The following is a 14,699-nucleotide window of genomic DNA, read 5'->3' on the forward strand; positions in this document are numbered from 1 at the left end:
AACCCTCCCTCTGTTTCCACCACAAATTGTTTTGATTTTTAAAATGAGCCTGAAGTTTACCACCCTGAATTCGGCCTAAAAATACCTCCACCTGCCAATACCAGGAGACCAGCATAAAGAGGTACTGCCAGCCCCTCCCATCCCAGACCTTGGGATGCCCCGGTTTATTGTGACCAGTTACACCTGCCCTGGAAGGAGAAACACAGCAAAAAGAGAATCAGCGACAGGACCAGAATCAGGGAACTCATGTTCTCCAAGTACACATGGACAGAAGTCTTCATTGTTAGGCACAAACTGTTTACTAAAAATAATGATTCCAGTGCTGAGTAAAGCACAAAGACAAATGGGATGATTTTCAAACCCTCTGGTAGCCATTGGGAAATTGATCAGGTAGGAAGGAAGCCCAGTTCAAACTTTGTTTTTTCCAAGAAAGACATGGCTCCTCAAATCTTTCTCCTTGAAAAACTCCTAAATGTTAAAGGACCAGGAGCAGAGCAAGATGGGTGAATGGAAGCCTCCCGTGATTGTTCTCCCCACAGGAACACCAAAGTCAACAACTATCTATATAAAAAAGCACCTTCATCAGAACCAAAAATCAGGTGAGCAATCACAGTACCTGGTTTTGACTTCATTTTGCTGAAAGAGGCACTGAAGAGGGTAGGAAAGGCAGTCTTGAATTGCCAACACCACCCCTCCCCTATCTCTGGGCAGCAGCCATGTGGCAGAGAGAGAGAAGCCGTGTGCTGTAGGAGGGAGAGCACAGCAACTGTGGGACTTTGCATGGAACTCAGTGCTGCCAACACCGGGCAGAACTCAGCCAGCGCCCACTGAGGGAGCATGTAGACCAGCCCTAGCCAGAGGAGAATCACCCATCCCAGTGGTCAGAACCTGAGTTTTGGCAAGCCTCGCCACCATGGGCTAAAGTGCTTTGGTGTTCTAAATAAACTAGAAAGGCAGTCTAGGCCACAAGGACTGCAGCTCCTAGGCAAGTCCTAGAGCTGTGCTGGGCTCAGAGCCAGTGGATTTGGGGGGTGGGTACACAACCTACTGAGACACCAGCCAGGGTGGCTAAGGGAGTACTGGATCTAACCCTCCCCCAACTCCAAGCAGCACAACATGCAGCTCCAAAAGAGATCCCTTCCTTGTGCTTGAGGAGAGGAGAGGGAAGAGGAAAAAGGACTTTGTACTGTAACCAGAATACCAGCTCAGCCACAGTAGGATAGGGCACCAGGCAGAGTTGTGAGGCCCCCACTGCAGACCCTAGCTGCCAGACATTTCTAGAAACACCCTGAGCCAGAATGTAACCTCCTGCCTTAAGGGAAGGATGCAGTTGTGACAGGATTCTTGTTCTTCTGACTAAAGAGCCCTGGGCCCTGCATGATCTGCAACAGTAACCAGGCAATACATGCCATGAGCCTTGGGTGAGACTCTGAGACATGCTGACCCAGCTGTGGTCAGGTGTGACTCGGCACTTTCACAGCTGTGCTGGCTATGAGGAGAGATTCCTTCTGCTTGAGAAAAGCAGAGAGAAAAGAGGACTTTGTCTTGCAGCTTGGGTACCAGCTAAGCACAGTGGGGTAGAGCACCAAGCAAGCCCTTCAAGTCTCTGATTCCAGGTTGTGGCTCTTGGATGGCATTTCTGGACCTACCCAGGCCCACAGGGGACCCCACTGCCCTGAAGAGTGCGTCTCAAACCTGCCAGCATTCACCACAAGCTGACTAAAGAGCCCCTGGCCTTAAGTGAATATGGGTGGTGGCCTGGCAGTGCTCCTTGTGGGCCTGTAGTGCTGGTGGACATGGGTGAGAGTCCTCTGCCTGGGGAAAGGAGAGGGAAGAGTGAAGGGACTTTGTCCTGTGATTTGAGTGCCAGTTGAGCCACAGTAGAGTAGAGCACCACATAGATTTCTAAGGTTTCCAACTCGAGGCCCTGACTCCTGGACAGCATCTCTGGACCCACCTGGGGCCCCAGGGAAATCACCTCATGTCTGAGGGGAAGGACACAAGCCTGGCTGGCTTTACCACCTGCTGATTATACAGCCCTAGGGCCTTGAGCAAACATAGGCAGTAGCCAGGTAGTGGTTACAACAGGCCTTAGGCAAGATCCAGAGCTGTGGTGGCTTCAGTTCTGACCAGTGCAGTCCCAGTGGTGGTGGCCACACAGTTGCTTGTGTCACCTCTCCCCCAGGTCCAGACAGCTTAGCATAGAGAGAGACTCTGTTTTGGAGAAAGTAAGGGAAGAGAACAAGAGTCTCTGCCTGTGATCCAGAGAATTCTTCCAGATCTTATACAAGACCACCAAGGTGGTACCTCTACAAGTCTATAAGAACCACACAGTTACTGGGCTTTGGGTGTCCTCTAATGCAGATACAGCTGCAGTGACAAAAAACTTGGATGACAACACCCAAGTACCTTTGAATACCTGGAAAGTCTTCCTAAGAAGGATGGGTATAAACAAGCCCAGATTGCAAAGGCTGCAATAAATACTTAAATCTTCAAAGCCCAGATACTGACAAACATCCACAAGCATCAAGACAATCCAGGAAAACATGACTTCACCAAACAAACTAAATTAGGCACCAGAGACCAATCCTGGAGAGACAGAAATATGTGACCTTTCAAACAGAAAATTCAAAATAGCTGTTTTGAGGAAACTCAAAGAAATTCAAGATAACACAGAGAAGGAATTTGGCATTCCTTCAGATACATTTAACAGAGATTGCAATAATTTAAAAGATTCAAACAAAAATTCCAGAGTTGAAAAACACAATTGACATACTGGAGAACACATCAGAGTCTCTTAAATAGCAGAATTGATTAAGCAGAAGAAATAATTTGTGAGCTTGAAGATAGGATTTTTGAAAATACATCAGAGGAGACAAAAGAAAAAAAGAATGAAAAAGAATGAAATACACCTAAAAGACATAGAAAATAGTTTCAAAAGAGCAAATCTAAGAGGTATTGGCCTTAAAGAGGAAGGAGAGAAAAAATAGGGGTAGAAAGTTTATTCAAAGGGTAACAGCAGACAACTTCCCAAACCTAGAACAAGATATCAATACCTAAGTACCAGAAGGTTACAGAACACCAGGCAGATTTAACTGGAAGAAGACTATCTCAAGGCATTTAATAAGCAAATTCCCAAAAATCAAGGATAAAGAAAGGATCCTAAAAGCAGCAAGAAACTAACTGCATACAATGGAGCTCCAATATGTTTGGCAGCAGACTTTTCAGCACAAGTCTTTAAAGGCCAGGAGAGAGTGGCATGACATATCTAAAGTGCTGAAGGAAAAAAACGTTTACACTAGAATAGTATATTCAGCAAAACTATCCTTCAAACATGAAGGAGAAACATAGACTTTCTCAAAGAAAAGCTGAAGGACTTCATCAATACCAGATCAGTCCTACAAGAAATGCTAAAGAGAGTATTTTAATCAGAAAGGACATTAATAAGCAATAAGAAATCATCTGAAAGTCCAAAATGTACTTGTAAGTACACAGAAAAAACACAGACTATTATAACACTGTCACTGTGGTATGTAAACTACTCATATCTTAAGCAGAAAGACAAAAAGATGAACCAATTAAAAATAGTAACTACAGGGCCGGGCACAGTGGCTCACGCCTGTAATCCCAGCAGTTTGGGAGGCCGAGGTGGGTGTATCACCTGAAGACAGGAATTCGAGACCAGACTGCCCAACATGGCGAAACCACATCTCTACTAAAAATACAAAAAAGTAGCCGGGCGTGGTGGTGGGCGCCTGTAATCCCAACTACTCAGGAGGCTGAGGCAGGAGAATCACTGGAACCTGGGAGGTAGAGGTTGCGATGAGCCGAGATTGCACCACTGCACTCCAGCCTGGGTGACAACAGCAAAACTCTATCTCAAAAATAAATAAATAAATAAATAAATAAATAAATAAATAAATAAATAAAACTACAAAAACTTTTCAAGACATAGACTGTACAATAAGATATAAATAGAAAAAAGGAAAAAGTTAAGCCGGGGGACAAAGTTAAGGCGTGGAGTTTGTATTCATTTTCTTTTTATTTGTTTATGCTAGCAGTGTTAAGTTGTTATCAGCTTAAAATAATGGGTTACAATAATGGGATGGTATTTGCAAGCCTCATGGTAACCTCAAATAAAAAACTTACAACAGATACACAAAAAATAGAAAGCAAGAAATTAAATCATACCACCATAGAAAGTCACCTTCACTAAAAGGAAGACAGGAAGAAAAGAAAGAAGGAGGAGAAGACCACAAAACAAATAATAAAATGACAGGAGTAAATCCTTACTTATCAATAATAATTGAATGTAACTAAACTCTCCAATTAAAAGACATACACTGGCTAAATGGATTAAAAACAACAAAAAAAGACCAAATGATCTGTTGCCTACAAGAAACACCCTTCACCTATAAAGACACATATAGACTGAAAATAAAGGGATGGAAAAAGCCCATGCAAATCACAGGCAAAAAAACAGCAGGAGTAACTATATTTATGTCAGACAAAATCGATTTCAAGACAAAAACTATAAGAAGAGACAAAGAAGGTTACTATATAATGATAAAGGGGTCAATTCAGCAAGAGGATATAACAATTGTAAATATTTATGTACCCAACACTGGAGCACCCAGATATATAAAGAAAATATTATTAAAGCTAAAGAGATAGGCCCCCAGTGCAGTAATACCTGGAGACATCAACACCTAGCTTTCAGCATTTGACAGATCATCCAGACAGAAAATCAACATCAGACTTAATCTGCACTACAGACCAAACAGACCCAATAGATATATACAGAACATTTCATCCAACAACTGAAGAATACACATTCTTTTCCTCAGCACATGGATCATTCGCAAGGATAGACCATATGTTAGGCCACAAAACAAGTTTCAAAACATCCAAAAAATTGAAATAATATAAAGTACCTTCTCTGACCACAGTGGAATAAAAAAACTATATAGCAATAACAAGGGGAATTTGTGAAACTATGCAAATACATGGAAATTAAACAACATGCTCCTGAATGACCAGTGAGTCAATGACGACACTAAGAAAAATTGAAATTTTATTGAAACAAATGATAACAGAAACACAACAGCAAAACCTATGGGGTACATCAAAAGCAGTACTAAGAGGAAGTTTATAGCTGTACATAAATCAAAAAAGTAGAAAAATTTCAAATAAACAATCTAACAATGCATCTTAAAGAACTAGAAAATCAAGATCAAACCAAATCCAAAGCTAGTGGAAGAAAAGAAATAATAAAGATTAGAACAGATATAAATTAAAATGAGGAAAACAATACAAAAGATTAATGAAACAAAAGTTTGTTTTTTTAAAAAGATAAATGAAGTTGACAAACCTTTAGCCAGACTAAGAAAAAAAGAGAAGACCCAAATAAATAAAATCAGAAATGAGAAAAGAGACATTACATTAATACTACAGAAATTCAAAGGATCATTAGAGGCTACTATGAGTAACTATACACCAATAAATTGGAAAACCTAGAAGAAATGAATAAATTCCTAGACACAAAACCTACCAAGATTGAACCGTGAAGAAATGGGATCAAAGCCAAAATAACAAAAAAAACAAGTAATGGGATCAAAGCCAAAATAAAGTCTCCCAGAAAAGAAAAGCCAACAAAAACCTGATGGCTTCACTGTTGAATGTTACCAAACATTTAAAAAAGAATGAATACCAATCCTACTCAAACTATTCCAAAAAACAGAGAAGGAGGGAATACTTTCAAACTCATTTTACAAGGCCAGTATTACCCTGATACCAAAACCAGACAAAGACACATCAAAAAAAAAAAGAAAACTACAAGCAGTGATGCAAAAATCCTCAACAAAATACTAACAAAATGAATTCCACAATACATTAAAAAGATAATTTATCATGACCAAGTGAGATGTATCCCAGGGATGGAAGGATGGTTCAACATATGCAAATCAATCAGTGTGACACATTATATCAACAAAATGAAGAACAAAAACCATTTGATTATTTCAACTGATGCTGAAAAAGCATCTGATAAAATTCAACATCCCTTCAAGATAAAAAACTGCACATAGAAGGAACATAGTTCCACAATAAAAGCCATATATGATAGACCAACCAGCTAGTATCATACTGAAATGGAGAAAAACTGAAAGCCTTTCCTCTAGGATCTGGAACACAACAAGGATGCCCACTTTCACCACTGTTATTCACCATAGTACTCGAAGTCCTAGCTAGGGCAATCAGACAAGAGAAAGAATAAAGGCATTCAAATTGGAAAGGAAGAAGTCAAATGATCCTTGTTTGCAGAAAACATGATCTTATATTTGGAAAAACTTAAAGACTCCACCAAAAAACTATTAAAGCCAATAAACAAATTCACTAAAGTTGTAGGATATAAAATCAACATACAAAAATCAGTAGCATGTCTATAGGGCAACAGAGAACAATCTGAAAAAGAAATCAAGGAAATAATCCCATTTACAATAGCTACAAATAAAATTAAATATCTACAAACTAACCAAAGAAGTGAAAAATTTCTACAATGAAAACTATAAAACACTGATGAAAGAAATTGAAGAGGACACAAAAAACATGGAAAGATGTTCCATATTCACAGATCAGAAGAATAAATATTGTTAAAATGTCCATACTACTCAAAGTAATCTATACTTTGTAGAGATTCAATGCAATCCCTACAAAATACCAATGATGTTCTTCACAGCAATAGAAAAAAAACTACCCTAAAATTTATGTGGAACCACAAAAGATGCAGAATAGCCAAAGCTACCTTGAGCAAAAGGAACAAGGCTGGATGAATCACATTACCTGACTTTCAAATTATACTGCAGAGCTATAGTCATTAAAACAGTATGGTAATGGCATATAAACAAAAATACAGACCAATGGAATGGGATGGAGAATCCGGAAACAAATCCATACATTTATGTTGAACTCATTTTCAATAAAGGTGCCAAGAGCATACATTGGGGAAAGGATAGCCTCTTCAATAAATGGTGCTGAGAAAACTGTATATCCCTATGCAGAAGAATGAAACTAGACCCTATCTCTCACCATATACAAAAACCAAATCAAAATGGATTAAACACTTAAATCTAAGACCTCAAACTATGAAACTACTATAAGAAAACACGAGGGAAACTCTCTAGGACATTGAACTGGGCAAAGGTTTCTTGAGTAACATCCCACAGACACGAACCACTAAAGCAAAAATGGACAAATGGAATCATATCAAGTTAAAGACTTCTGCACAGCAATGAAACAACAAAATGAAGAGACAACTCACAGAATGGGATAAAATATTTTTACACTACCCATGTGACAAGAGATTAATAACCAGAATATAAAAGGGGCTCAAACAACTGTAGGGAAAAAAATCTAATAATCCTGTTAAAAATGGGCAAAAGATCTAAATAGACATTTCTCAAAAGACGACATACAAATGTCAGACAGGCATATGAAAATGTGCTCAACATCATTGATCATCAGGGAAATGCAAATCAAAACTACAATGAGTTATCACCTCACCCTGGTTAAAATGGCTTTTATCCAAAAGACAGGCAATAAAAACTGCTGATAAGAATGTGGAAAAAAAGGGAATGCCTGTACACTGTTGGTGGGAATGTAATGCAAATTACTACACTATGAAGAACAGTTTGGAGATTCCTCAAAAAACTAAAAATAGAGCTACCATACTATCCAGCATTCCAACTGCTGGATATGTACCCAAAAGAAAGGAAATCAGTATACTGAGGAGCTATCTGCACTCCTACATTTATTGCAGCACTAGTCACAATAGTCAAAATTTGGAAACAACCTAATCCTCAATAGATGAATAAAGAAAATGTGGTAAATATACACGATAGAGTACTATTTAGTCATTAAAAAAAGAGTAAGATCCTGGGCTGGGCGCAGTGGCTCACGCCCATAATCCTAGCACTTTGGGAGGCTAAGGCAGGCGGATCACGAGGTCAGGAGTTCAAGACCAGCCTGGCCAATATGGTGAAACCCCATCTCTACTAAAAATACAAAAATTAGCCAGGTTTGGTGATGGGTGCCTGTAATCCCAGCTACTCGGGAAGCTGAGGCTGGAGAACTGCTTGACCCTGGGAGGCGGAGGTTGCAGTGAGCCAAGATTATACCACTGCACTCCAGCCTGGGTGACAGAGCAAGACTCCATCTCAAAAAAAAAAAAAGGATAAGATCCTGTCATTTGCAACAACAGGGATGGAACTGGAGGTCATTATGTTAAACAAAATAAACTAGGCACAGAAAGATAAACTTCACATGTTCTTATTTATTTCTTGAACTAAAAATTAAAACAATTGACCTCATGGAGATAGAAAGTAGAGGGATGGTTACCAGAGGCTGGGAAGGGTAGTGGGAGAGTGGTAGGGGGATGCGAGGATAGTTAATGGGTCCAATAAAAATAGAAAGAATGAATAAGATCTAGTATTTTATAACATAACTTTAGGATACCTAAAGAATGAATAAAATCTAGTATGTGATAGCATAACTTTAGGACACCTAAAGCCAATAATAATTGTACATTTTTAAAATAACTAAAACTGTATAATTGGATTGCTTGTAACACAAGGGATAAATGCCTGAGGTGATGGATACCTCATTTTACATGATGTGATTATTATACATTGTATGCCTGTATCAAAACATCTCATGAGATGTATTTTCCCATTAAAAATTCCTCATTAAAAAATGTCATATATCCCATAAATGTATGTATATATATTTACGTAAATATATGTATATATATATTCAGTGTAATTCTGAAACATTTTAATTATGAAGATTTATCATGGTCATGACATTGCTTTAATATACTGGTTTCATATAATTTATTTAATTTGGAATTCCTAATAAAGAACCAAACTTCTCATTACTGTATGTGCATAGAAAAATGTAATCTGCTTTACCAAAATTCCCTTTACAATATGATGAAGAATAAAAGTGGGATATGCCTTTATGGTAACACCCTCCTCAATCCCCAAATAGCCAGGAAAGCACAACGCAGCATGGTCTCTGGAAAACAGCCGGGACCGCGGCCCAGAACTCAGGGGAGGGAGCTGACAGGTGTGCGCGCTCCAGAGTCCACTCACTTCCAGACATTCAGCCAGGAGAAAGCCTTCAGAGATCATCTAGTCCAACTATCTCACCTACAGCTGGGGAAACTGAACCCAAGGGCAGAAACGGCTTACCAAGTCGACCTAAGTTATTGACCAGGAATAAACTTACCAGACCCTAGGAAATTAGAAGCAACAAGCTAGTGGCAGAGGTGGGGTGGGCTGTGGCTTTTATACTTATGGTAGTGACAAATGGCAGCTGACCACGGAAGACAAGGCAGACAAATGAAAAGCGTATTACAGAATAATAATGAAAGCTTATTAAACACAAAAATGAAAGAGCTTATCCGAGTCACTATGAAAAAGACTCAATAAATTTGTTATTCTCCATTTAAAAAAAAAAAAGTATGTGACATATCTTAGAATAGTTTCCATCAAGAATGCTAAGATCTGCACAGAGACTGCATTCAAAGGGGTCAGCTCCAGGTATCCGGAAGGTTAATTTCTGTGGAATGCCTTCCTGCCCAGCACAGGCTTGTTTTTTCAAGGACAAAGTTTGTTTTTGATATGTGCACACATTTCATAGACAATAAAGCTAATATTCTGATTTTTGAGGCCTAAAATAACTTGTCTGCAGATGACAACTTATCTAAATGACCTGAAATAAAAGTGACTGAAAATAAGCCCTCGGGAATGTACAGTCCTTAAGCATCACGAACTGCCACTCCCAAGGCCACGCATGTATCAACAACGCCTTATCAATCCCAATGATGTTATGGGGAGTCCAGAGACAGGCAGACAACGTGGATAAGAATTTATTACTCCAGCATGACGTAACAAGAATGTTAGCTTTACTGAGCTCCATGCCAAGAGCAGAAGTCTTCCCTTCCCGCCCCTGTCCTCCCCTCCCCTATAGTTCACCCTGTCCTCCTAGCCGCCTAACAAGGGTGAGGTGATTCTGTGATAAAACTCCTCTTTGGGTTCTAGTCCTTGTATTTATTCTTTATCATGCTTCTGGTGGCACCACTCCCCAGGGCATCCCTTCCCCCATCACCACTACAAGTAATAGGACTCCCGAGTCCAAGTGATCTCATCCCTGTGTCCAGGCACCTCCAGGAGAGCAGGCCTCGCTATGCACATGTGCCTGCTCAGGATAGTTTCTATTCCATGATTCACCCACCAAGTATCCTCCCTAGGGACGCGGGTTCATGCCTCGGCCTTAACATTCTGTGCTATCATTTTAAGACTTTTACATGATTTAGAGGAAAGAACAGGAGCTTTGGAGCCAGAAAATCCTGAGTTGAATCCCAGCACCAGCATCCAAATTGAGCTCTGTGTCTGGGAATAAGTTATTTCTCCTTCCTGAGCCTTGGTGCCATTAAGTGTAAAAGGAGATGGCTGTGCAGAGTTAAGGAGAGGCTACATATAAAGTGCCTGGCACACAGTAGGTGCTCTGCGGATGCTCCTTTCCTTTCCCTCCCCCACTCCCTCTTCCTCCACTCAGAACTGTTGGCTCTGGCTTCTTTCTCTCCGGAATGTTTTCTCCCATCTCTTCTCAGTGAGCCTCCTCATATGCTTCCTTTTAGCAAGAGCTTTTACACCTGAATCATGGTGTTTAAAAACCTATATCGAGAAATGTGATTATAGGACATTGCCAAACTGTGCTTCTTGAAATAGAAATAACGAGACTGCAAAGCGCATCTAAGCTAGAGAGGGTTGGGTGAGACTGAGGGAGCAGAGAAGACGCTCTGGACACCCCCCGCCTCCCTTTTCCCCTTCCCCAGTGCCACCAGATTTAGCAAATGAAAATGTAAGACACCCAGTTAAATTTTCATTTCAGATAAATATCAAATACATTTCTAGTGTGTCCCAACAATTGCAGTTGAGAAGGAAAATGGGACTCTAGCAAAGATAAGCTGTAGAGAAAGGAAAATAAAGATCATGACTGCCAGAGACAGAGGCAGCTGTCCCTTCTACCTGGTGCTACCAGAGAGAACTTCAAATCATCTGACCAAAAGGGAACCCCTGGTGGAGTCACAGCTTTGTGTGGTCTTGGAGTCCTAGAAAGTGCCCGTAGGCAGTAAACGCACAGCCATGGTCCTTCAGTTCCAGTAAGCATGGGCAGTTACTGAAGAGGGGCTTGGGACTTGAAGACGGCAGCTGCCCAGGCACCCTCAATGTCTGTACAAAATCCACCCACCTAATGCTATGTGAGTTTTATCGTATTTTTTATTAATTTTTAAACATAATTTTGTGGAATGAGCACTTATTTAATATTCCATATAATCTTTAAAATGTTGCAAAAGATGAAATAAGCCAGCCATACTTAAATACAAGTGAATTTTCTCTTAATTTATTTGGATTTGAATTTTTGCTTTAAAAGACTAAAGGGCAACAAAATTACACAGGAAAATGCACATGTTACTGTACAAACTGAAATATCATCCCCGCTGAATTACTGCAATAACTTCTCAACTGAACTCCCTGCTGCTGCCCATCCAGTCTCTTAACTCAGCAGCCAGAATGATCCTTCTAAAAAATACATCAGATTACGCCCCTTCCCTGCCCAAAACCCTCCACTGGCTCTCAGTAAGTGTGAGCCTTTCCAGTGGCCTTCAAGGTCCTGTGGGACTTGGCGCCCCACCCCTTTCAGCCCCTCCGACTCTCCTTTCCTGCCCTCCCCTTGCTCACTGGGCACAGGCCACTCTGGCCACTGCCCACAGCGTCCTGCCCAGATGCCCCTGTGCCTTCCCTGCCCTCCTGCAGAGCTTTGCCCTAATGCCAGCTTCTCCATAACACCTTCTCTGGCCACACTTTCTAAGTTCGTAGCCCCCATTCCTAGCACATCCTAGCCCCTCTCACTGCTGCCGATTCCCATCAACCTACTGCACATTTTACTTTAGTTGTACGTTTGGTATCTCTCCTCACTAGAATGCAAGGCAGACATTTGGGCATTTTGCTCTCTGCAGCCTCCCCAGAATGTAGAACAGTACATGGCACATAGGACGCACTCAATACAATTATTTTTTGAATGTTGAATAAATATGAGGTAAGAATAATGATGAGCTATAGTGTGGTAAGATGTATTTACCGAAAGCCAAACAATGAATAAATGTGGGGTTTTCTTCAAGACTTCAAAGACTGAAAAGAGCTCTTATTTTTGAACTTTTTTACGCGCCTCTCACTTGCTTTCTTCTTTTTTTCATCAGAAAATTATAGAGCCAGAGGGGGGTCATGACTTCCTGGCTTCTAAAGTTAATATTCAAAAATGCAGGACAGAGCATTTTTACCGTTCGCATTTTATAAATCATGTGATTGAAGGAAGTACATATTTGCCTGAAGTAACATCCTTTGAAAGTGCTTCCCAAGTCTCCCCCCACTCAGGCTAAGAACAGTCAAGCAATTCCAGACTAAAGAATGTGCTCCTCATGAAATTTCAACACAAGCGCATTCAATACATGTTTATTGATCGGCAGAGATCAAATCTGTCGCCCTTTTAACAAAGGTCCAACTGAATGACCTTTAAATGTGAGATGTGTCAAAATCCAAAATGCCAAACAAGTCTCCTTACCTCTCGGCAGAGTCTCTGATGAGCTGCTGCAAATCCACCTCCTGCTTCCTCAGGGTTCCAAATGAAGACTGGCTCTCTACGCGGCTGCTGCCCCCCAGGTTCAGCTTGACCTTCCCCAGTGCAGTCTCCAGGGTTCCACTCACGTGGTTTGCAAACTTGCCCTCGTATTTCACAAAGTCCGACTCCACGACCACTGGAATGGAGGAGACGAGCAGAGGAAGCCGATGATGATAAGGCCACCAAGATGTCTTGGGTCATTTAGCTTTCCAAGCCTGTGCAGAGCCCCGGAAAGCAGAAGGCTGGCACTCAGATGGAAAGCCGGCAGCCATGCTGTGTGTGTGGGCAAGAAAACAGGGCAGCACGTGTGTGTGTGTGTGTGTGTGTGTGTGTGGACCGCGGGCACACAGTGGACCAGTGCAGCACGTGTGTGTGTGTGTGTGTGTGTGTGTGTGTGTGTGTGTGTGTGTGTGTGTGGACCACGGGCACACAGTGGACCAGTGACCAGGGCTCCACTAGAAGCTTTTCTCTTTCATTGGTTTTCAATCCCAATACGTATAGAAAGGTGCACAGAAAGGACTAATGAATAAAGTTAGCGCCTGTTTAACCACTATCCAGGTGGATCAATAGACCATTTTAAATGTGTACTTTTCCAGGGTGAAGACTGAAAGGGACTAGACAAAGAAGACAACTAAACAGAGAGAGAACAGCAGCCCCTATTCTGGATGCACCGCGAGAGGACAGCCTTCCTTGGCCACCTAGGCCTGTCTGGGGGCATCTTGTCTACCCACCCACCAGTCTTGGAAAACAATCCCCTGGCCCTTATTACCATCTCCAGTCAAATTATTCCCTTCCCATATTTATGATTCTCTCTCTGACCTCTACCCAGTCATTCAATTCCTCATCATATAATTCCTTATCTCTGACTTCCTGATAAGGTCAGTGGACATGCCCTTTTTAAAATGATAAATGTCTGATCTCATATCTGAACTGTCAGCCTTCTCACATCTCCAGGTTTCTACTATTCTCTTTTGTAATCCAAACAAAAACCACCCTAAAAATAGTCTCTGTGTGGTGGCTCACATTTGTAATCCCAGCAATTTAGGAGGCTGAGGCAGGAGGATCCCTTGAGGTCAGAAGTTCAAGACCAACCTGGGCAACACCAGCTACCCTAGAGGCTGAGGTGAGAGGATCACCTGAACCCAGGAGTATAAGGTTACAAGTGAGCAATGATCATGCCACTGCACGCCAGCCTGGGTGACAGAGCAACACCTTATCTCTAAGAAAATATAAAAATAATAACAAATAAAAATAATGATTTTAAAAATAGTCTCTATCATCACCATTTGGTAAGGAGACATTAAGAGTCCACTAGGAACCTCACACTTGGCCTTTTCCATTGTCCTGACCCAAGGCTCTCCTGGGCTCCCGGCTGCCCTTCACAGGGGATTCAAACCCACCGGCAGTCTGAAAGGCTTCTTTCCATCCACTCACTGCCCCAACACCCATACTTCACCTACACTTCTTCCACTGCAATCAAGAAAACCCACTCCTCAACCAGGGTTAATCAGAAGTAATCACCATTCAATCACCTTTGAAATTTATAAAACAGAGAATCATCTCCTGTACCACCAGCCCAAAAATAAGAATGGTGTAAAAATTTATCCTATTCATGGACTTTTTTTGTTAATATCTCATGGAAAACAAACATTTTGGGCAATGCCTTGGGAAGAAGGGCAGAGCAGAGATAAAGAGGTTAGGATTCTATCCCTACTCTAATATTACTAACCGGGAGAATTTGGGTAACATTCATTTCCCTGAACCTCAGACTTTCATGAGCAATTTGGAGATAATTAATGATAGCTACCTGACGGGTTCTGCTGCGGGTTTATATATGGAAAGCATGTAAGGTAGAGTCTCACACATAGCAAAGGCTCAATCTCTCCACTGTGTTTAGGCCACAGAAATATCATTTTCTAATAAACAGGACAGTCCTAGGTTCTACAAAGTACAGCAAA

General features: G+C 41.2%; 1 protein-coding gene across 5 annotated transcripts in view, besides 1 other annotated feature; it reads right to left on the bottom strand.

Annotated features, from left to right (window-relative positions):
* GSDME (gasdermin E) overlaps positions 1 to 14,699 on the bottom strand; it is a 97,185-nt gene that overhangs the window by 33,523 nt on the left and 48,963 nt on the right. For all 5 annotated transcript variants that reach the window (XM_024446670.2, NM_001127454.2, NM_004403.3 and 2 more), the window contains one exon: positions 12,685 to 12,877. In XM_024446670.2, coding sequence (XP_024302438.1) covers positions 12,685 to 12,877 — 193 coding nt within the window. The remainder of the gene's footprint in view (positions 1 to 12,684; positions 12,878 to 14,699) is intronic.
* Positions 9,713 to 10,007: a silencer, noted in NCBI's record as "tiled region #13058; HepG2 Repressive non-DNase unmatched - State 10:DNaseD". NCBI's record gives its function as "represses a minimal TATA promoter and a strong SV40 promoter by Sharpr-MPRA in HepG2 cells {active_cell/tissue: HepG2}" and the evidence as "EXISTENCE:reporter gene assay evidence [ECO:0000049][PMID:27701403]".

This window comes from Homo sapiens, chromosome 7 (assembly GCF_000001405.40).
Source record: "Homo sapiens chromosome 7, GRCh38.p14 Primary Assembly".
NCBI lineage: Eukaryota > Metazoa > Chordata > Mammalia > Primates > Hominidae > Homo > Homo sapiens.